At 38.9% G+C, this 7,674-nt stretch overlaps 5 annotated features.

The window, feature by feature from the left end:
* Positions 532-611: an enhancer, noted in NCBI's record as "active region_12662". NCBI's record gives its function as "activates an Ori minimal core promoter by ATAC-STARR-seq in GM12878 lymphoblastoid cells {active_cell/tissue: GM12878}" and the evidence as "EXISTENCE:reporter gene assay evidence [ECO:0000049][PMID:35858748]".
* Positions 822-891: a silencer, noted in NCBI's record as "silent region_8909". NCBI's record gives its function as "represses an Ori minimal core promoter by ATAC-STARR-seq in GM12878 lymphoblastoid cells {active_cell/tissue: GM12878}" and the evidence as "EXISTENCE:reporter gene assay evidence [ECO:0000049][PMID:35858748]".
* Positions 1,012-1,351: an enhancer, noted in NCBI's record as "active region_12663". NCBI's record gives its function as "activates an Ori minimal core promoter by ATAC-STARR-seq in GM12878 lymphoblastoid cells {active_cell/tissue: GM12878}" and the evidence as "EXISTENCE:reporter gene assay evidence [ECO:0000049][PMID:35858748]".
* Positions 1,542-1,691: an enhancer, noted in NCBI's record as "active region_12664". NCBI's record gives its function as "activates an Ori minimal core promoter by ATAC-STARR-seq in GM12878 lymphoblastoid cells {active_cell/tissue: GM12878}" and the evidence as "EXISTENCE:reporter gene assay evidence [ECO:0000049][PMID:35858748]".
* Positions 2,212-2,281: an enhancer, noted in NCBI's record as "active region_12665". NCBI's record gives its function as "activates an Ori minimal core promoter by ATAC-STARR-seq in GM12878 lymphoblastoid cells {active_cell/tissue: GM12878}" and the evidence as "EXISTENCE:reporter gene assay evidence [ECO:0000049][PMID:35858748]".

The raw sequence follows: 7,674 nt of genomic DNA on the forward strand, positions 1-7,674 counted from the left end.
AAGGCAGGTGAGACACTGATGCACAATCCTTGTCAAAGCTGGGCAGCCTCTGTCCACTCTGCCTGTGCCCTTGGCAATTATCAGCAAGCTATGAGCTATACTACCATCCCCTGCCAAGTGAGGTTTAATTTATGACACCAAGGATAATGATTCACTCCAACGCAATACTCAGAATTACTGTCTTTTCCTCTGAATTAGAATTCTTCTACCTACAAAATGACGTGCTTTTTAGTATTTTGATTCAAATCAGTCATGATCATGCTGGATGTTGTAGGGTTGAAAACATTTGGTTGTGCAACTTGAATATTCTGCAAGAGATTAAGCTGGGGATAGACTAAAGGTGGTTCTAAGTCCAGTCTCTAAGGAGCACTGCTGTCCTTTCTCTCTGAAATTCAGATCCAGAGAGAAAGAGAAGACTCTAAGAGGAACTCAGGTCTGCAGGTTTTCCTGGGCCAGTTCTCCCTGCCATGAATATGAAGAGTTGCCCAGGACACTCTAACTAGCAAATAGTCTGCAGAACAAATGTTTTTGTGGGGGAGAAAAAACCAACAACCATGGACGCCAAGTCAAGTGGCTAGAGAAGAGTGATGTTGTTAAAGTGTATGATTCATTAAGTCTTGTCTGCGTGTCAGATGTTCAGCATTTGGTGCTATTGCCTCCAATTTAAATCATTTTTTAAAGAAGTGCCGAAAAAGGTGCTGAAAGGCACCTCACTCTGTTCCCGCACTTGAAAAACACTGTCTGCCTGTGCACTGTGGTAAAACTTTGCATTTTGGCTAGACACCCTGTGTGGAGCTGTGCTGAAGCTGGAGGGTTTCTTTTTTTTTTTTTCTTTTTTTTTTTTTTAAGTTTGTACAGTCACCCAAAGGCAGGAAGAGAAAACAGTGTTTCCCCAAGCCAAAGATCCCTCCTGATGGCATCTGTGAAATAGAGAGAGAAAGTGCTGCTATAGTGAGCCTTCCCCTGCAGTGAGAAACCCTACCACAAGTTTCCATGTAGTGACTGCCTGCACGTAAGAGCTGCCTCCCAGTGCTTTTCTGCTGGGAGTCCTTCTCTCCTAGAATTCTTTTCAGAACCCCTGGAATGTCAAGAGCTGCTGATCGTGGTTTATCATCACCAGTTACAAGTAAGGCTAGCATTGATATCTCACCTTGGATTGTTGTCAGTACCCAATGACCTCACGGAGACTCAATGTGTTGGTTCCTCGACACCCCCTAAATGCTTCTAGGGGTGTAGCTGCCGCTTCCTCCTCACACAAAAAGGGGTGACGCATGTCTCAAGGATGAATCTTGCGAACATGATGCTAAATGAAATAAGTCACGAAAGGAGAAATAGTATATGATTCCACTTATATGAGATACTGAGAGTAGACAAATCTATAGAGATAGAAACTAGAGTGGTGGCTGCCAGGGGCTGAGGGAAGAGAGATAGGTAATTAGTGTTTAGTGAGTACAGAATTTCAGTTTTATAAGATGAAAAGCATTCTGGAGATGAATAGTCGTGATGGTTGCACAACAATGTAAATGTACTTAATTCCATTAAATTCTACACTTAAAAATTGTTAAGATGATAAATTTATGGTGTGTATATTGTACCACAGTTAAAAAAAAAAGATGGTGCAGGTCAGAAAGCGGTCAGGAAAGTCCCAGTTAAGACTCCAAGGACTTCCCCAGGTTAGTGTGACTTGGCATTCATGAATAAAATGTGGCTTTCTGGGTATTAATCTGAGATCTGGGCCTCCATATTCTCAAGCACTGTATGACAGGCATGTTATGAATTTCATCAGAACTGCAATTCCTGCTGATAGAAACTTCCCCGGCTCCTCAGGCGCTTGCTGACCCAGGCCTTTAGCAGTAGCTATAAGATGCTTAAGATTTACCTAAAAATGAAGGTGATGGTGTTTCCTCCAATTCAAAGAGAATACAGCAGGTGGTAGGCTAGGGCTGAAGCTTGGTTGGGGAGAGTAGTGTATTAGTCCATTCTCACACTGCTATGAAGCAATACCCGAGACTGGGTAATTTATAAAGGAAAGAAGTTTAATTGACTTGCAGTTCTGCAGGGCTGGGGAGGCCTCAGGAAACTTACAATCTGGCAGAAGGGGAAGCAAACACATCCTTCACATGGCAGCAGCACAGAGAAGTGCAGAGTGAAGGGGGGAAATGCCTCTTATAAAACCATCAGTTCTCATGAGAACTCACTATCATGAGAACAGCCCCCATGATCTAGTCACCTCCCATGGAGTCCCTCCCACAACACTTGGGGATTATGGGAACTATAATTCAAAATGAGATTTGGGTGGGGACATAGTCAAACCATATCAAGTAGGTAGACACAGACAGGTAAAAATTCACCTATTTGAAATATAATTGCACCAAGGACATAAACAGACTCTTTTCAAAAGAAGATATACACGTGGCAAACAATCATATGAAAAAAGCTCAATATCACTGAACATTAGAGAAATGCAAATCAAAACCACAATGAGATACCATCTAATACTGGTCTGAATGACTATTATTAAAAAGTCAAAAAATAACTGATGCTGGCAAGGTTATGGAGAAACAGGAATGCTTATCCACTGTTGGTAGGAGTGTAAATTAGTTCAACCATTATGGAAGACAGTGTGGTGATTCCTCAAAGACCTAAAGACAAAAATTGAACCAGCATTTGACCCAGCAATCCCATTACTGGGTATATACCCAAAGGAATATAAATCATTCTGTTATAAAGACATCACTATTCACAATAGCAAAGACATGGAATCAACATAAATGCCCACCAAAGACAGACTGGATAAAGAAACAGTGGTATGTATACACAATGGAATACAGCACAGCCATAAAAACGAATGAGATCATGCCCTTTGCAGGGACATGGATAGAACTGGAGGTCGTTATCCTTAGCAAACTAACACAGGAACAGAAAACCAAATGCTGCGTGTTCTCATTTATAAGTGGGAGCTAAATGATGAGAACACATGGACACAGAAGAATAAAACTCACTGGAGCCTTTTGGAGGGTGGAGAGTGGGAGGAGGGAGAGGATCAGGAAAGATGACCAAAGGGTACAAGGCTTAATACCTTGGTCATAAAATAATTTGTACCACAAACCCCCATGTGTCAAATTCATCCATGAAACAAGCCTGCACTTGCACCCCTGAACTTAAAGGTTAAAAAATGTATATATAATTACACCAAGAAATAGTAACGATGCATAATTTAACAATGCATAGATTTCCAAATATTTTCACAAATATGAATTCATAGTCCTCACATCAAACCTGTAATTAATGGCCACCATTGAGGTCCTGTGATGTTCTAAGCATCATGTTTGCATTGTTTCATCTTCCATCTAGAGTAAGAGGCTCAGAGAAGTCAAGGCCATTTAACCAGCAAGTGAAAGAGATATGATTCTAAGACACGGTTGTTCAGTGGTGATGGTGGTGGTGATTTTTGTGGGTTTTTTGCTTTTGTATTTGTTTTGTAAGCTCTAAATCTGGCACTTTGCCTTTTTCTGTAATATAGGAGTCAAAAAGGAAAGGAAAGGAGGATGAAACCCTAGAGGTCTCTAGGTGATGAATCGATTTTAGGCTTTCAAAAAAGCTGTATTAGCATCGCGTTCATTCCCATCTCTCCAAGGCTTTGGAAAACATCCTTTTCAGTAAGGAATCAAAATCAAGTCCCCTAAATAAAGCACTGGTAGTATGAAACACTGAGACATATTTTTAGTCTCACTGTGTCCGTTTTGTAGCAGCATAACATATGTGTTGAGCAAAAATATACACAATATTTAAAAACAACAAAACAATCACCATTATTCTCGCCATCTGATGGCCAGTCGCTGTGATGATTTGTTCTTTAGGTCAGCTTCTGTGTGCCATCATCTAAAGAGCAAACTGCTTCACATACCTACCCTACCTTCCCTCCTACCCTGAGTGCAGATGCTCACCTACCCTCATCTTTCCTGCAGAATGACTATGGACAGATATCCCTAAATCACAGACTCGCTAAACAAGGAGCCTCAGAGCAGACCTCTGCAGGGCTGATCTTAATCCTTTCCAGACAAATGAGATATGATTTCAAAAAATATTCAGGAAATGTGAATTCTCTTCCTACCTTGGTGACTTGTGTTGAAGTTTTACGTATATAATCAGAAAAACTTCGCTTATTATTACTGTCAGGTTCATCCTGCTGCAATTTCACCTCCTTAAAAAAAGTGGTGTCCAATTGTATGGAAACCCTTTGAACATAAAAATGAATTTGTAAACAAACATACTGAGCCGTGGTAGTTAACTCACAGAATAAAGCCATAGTCTGCGAAAGAACAAAGTGTAGGGAGTCTTTTAATGACTCATCCTAATATGTTTAAAATATGATTCAGTACAGAAATATTTGTGATATAGAAGACATAATAGGGGCACAATTATTGAATCAGTTTCGAGACTTGGGCACATCTGAATATATGTAGACAATGCCTTCTTCGTGTCAGTTTCATGTATCTGTCCCTATCACATGTTGTGCCAGCAAATGAAATTTCCTAGCTATATCCACATTGATGAAGCTTTGCTGTCTGTATGAATCTGCATCTGCCCATGAATGAGTCCATTTCAAGCACATGTACGTGTCTGTGCATGGGTAGAAAGATAAGCTTAGCAATTGTGTGATTTGTTTCTGCTTAGGCAGTAAGTTACTAATCTCCTGATTGGAACCAGATTTGTATGAATTAGGGGTTGAAATTGGAACAGTCACTGCTGTGTGCAGGATGTAAAGTGAATAAAATGAATGGAGTATTAACCTTCAACCACTGAATATTAATCAGCTTTTCATAAGAAAGAAAACACAGAGCTTGCCACACTAAATATTTTCAGCGCTTATTGACAGGATATGATTTCTTTTCTCTCTCAGCCCTGTTACTTCCAGTCAAGGGCCTGAAAATACCGGACAATAGTCAACTTGACACAGATTAATATATGATTTGAAAAACCCCAGGTACTGAGGGTGGGTAGGATTCTGAATGTGTCAAATCTGATGAAATGATATGCCTTTATCAAAAGTGAGCCTGTCTTCCAGTCACTCCTGCAAACACTCCTTTGGGCCAAACTAAGCCCAAAGGGAATTCACAGAAAGACCGTGGATGGGAAACCTTGATGACCACAAAACAAACATGTAAGAAGAATATATTTTCCATTGCCATAGAAAGGACTTGCAATTAGGAAGTGATTCTGTTTGGGTATTTGGATGAGACCTACATCCATTCCAAGGGGAATTAAGAAAAGAGTCATGTAATAATGGAATCTGAGTGAAAATAAAACTTGTAATATTGCAGTTACTTGTGCAATACTTATGTAATATTGCAATTGCTTTTGTTCAAGAATGCAAAGTCTTGTATTTATGTCCATATAATAACATGGCATATATTATATAGACTTTGACATATATATATATATATATATATATATATATATATATATATATAGAGAGAGAGAGAGAGAGAGAGAGAGATAGAGAGAGAGAGAGAGAGACAGAAATATGTCTCTGTAGGTAGAAATATGGACAAATAGAAATATACATAAAGTATATCTTTATGCATGTTTTATGTATGTTATATCATCAAAGAAGGCAGTAAATTTTTGCTCCTGCAGATATTTTGAAGCAGCAGATATTATATGCTAACATTATCTGTATCTATAAAGCTACTTGCACAATACTACAAAGAGTACATTTCATGTGGCTAGGATTAAATTGTAATTGAATTCAACTTTTAAAACTAAGAAAGGGAAAAGGGAGAAGAAAAGGATTTCTTCTATACCCAGCTCATGCAAATTGTTTTCAAATATTTTCTCAAATGTTTAAGAAATTCAGTTTTTTCTTAAACTGAATTTTTATTTAAAAAGCTATACTTTTTAAAAGCTATTTTAAAAGCTATACTTCAAATGAAGACAATGTATGTTTCAATAGCATTTTATTATTTATAAATCAGGAGGTACTTCTCAACCTCAAACATATCAGACCAATGTTAAGTAATGACTGTTTTTCCCTTTGGAAAAAGTCTCTCATTTTGTTTTTCTCTATGGAAAACTTCTCCCTCTATGCTACCTAGCTTAGAACCCCACTGCCCTCATGTGCTCTTGCCAAAAATTTCTAACCCCTGACCATCTCAAACACTGAAGTAATTAATCTCCCATGTAATTTCTCATGTAGCAATTTAAAAAAAAATCATCATACTCCTTTTAGCTGGTAGTAATACCGGAAATCCACCCATTAGGCTAATTCCACAAAGGTGTTAGTGACTGATAATGGCTTAATACACCCTGTAGGATGGTGCAGTACAAAGGATTGTAAAGATCCTTTTCTTCATCCCAAGATTCCTGTCCCTTGGTTATTCAAACACTCACCTTGGTACTTCTGTGAAGGGACTTTGAAGATGCAATTAAGGTTGCTAATCAGCTGACCTTAAAGTAGGGAGACTAGCCTGGATCATCCAGGTAGGCTCAATGTAATCACATGAGCCCTTAAAAGAAGAGGAAGGCAGAGGTATGTGCAAGAGAGGAAGCCAAAGGGGAGGTCTAAATGAGAATTTTGACTTGACTTGCTAGCTCTGAAGAAGGAGCAAGAGAGACAGGAGCCAAGGGGTGCAGGTGACCCGGCTGACAGCCAGCAGGGAAACAGGGACCTCCATCCTGTAACCGCAAGGAAATGAATTTGACAACAATCTGAATGAACTTGATTCTTCCCCAGAGCCTCTAGTAAGAAACAGCCCTGCCAATACCTTGATTTTAGCCCAGTGAGACCCAGGTTGGACTTTTTACCTACAGAAATTAGGAGATAATAAATGTGTGTTGTTTTAAACCACTAGGTTTATGGTAATTTGTTACGGCAGCTATAGAAAACTAATACAGGCAACCACAGAAGGCTCCAGAGAAAGAAATTTGTTCATCCAAATGAAAAAATGTCAAGGAAGCCCAAGAATAGTCTAGGAAGGAGAAGAGTGTTAGGGAAGAAATAGATTGCTGTGATAGGGCAATCTTAAATCCCATCTCTAGGTTACCTGTATTTACCATTGCCCCTAAGAGATTATACCTTCTCACCTCCATGTCATGGCTAGAGTGTGATTAACTCTTTTATTAAAAAATATTTGCAAAAAGAACTAAGCAAGGGTGACATAGAAATCAGTGGCACCTTCCACTGGCTTTCCAACACAGTGTCTTAGCCCATCCAATTCCCATTGAACATCTCAGACCTTCAGAAAAGTTAGATGGCTTTTCTAAGGTCATATAGTTGGTTATTAGTAAATCAGAAACTTGATTTCAAGTCCTCTACTGTCTTATCCTAATTTTTTCATGTCATTAACCTTAATTCTTACTTATTATGAAAACTGGCTGGAATTCAAAGAGAATGCATTTAGTAAATAGGCTACAAGAAAGTATGTTGTATTAGCACATGGAAAAGGAATATAGAGACTTATCTGGATTATTTATAGCTGAAGTCACATCATCAATAGGTAATCCCGGGTGTCTGACTCACCGATAACGCAGAAAAAAATACCAAAGATAGCTAGATACTTGGGAGAAGGAGAATTTTGGTTTAGATGACAAATCAATGCTTCAATAATTCTCTATTGCACTTTTCTGAAGATCTCATGGCCACTTGGCAACATTGAATAACCTTGGTACCAA

Source organism: Homo sapiens, chromosome 17 (genome assembly GCF_000001405.40).
Source record: "Homo sapiens chromosome 17, GRCh38.p14 Primary Assembly".
Classification (NCBI taxonomy): Eukaryota; Metazoa; Chordata; class Mammalia; order Primates; family Hominidae; genus Homo; species Homo sapiens.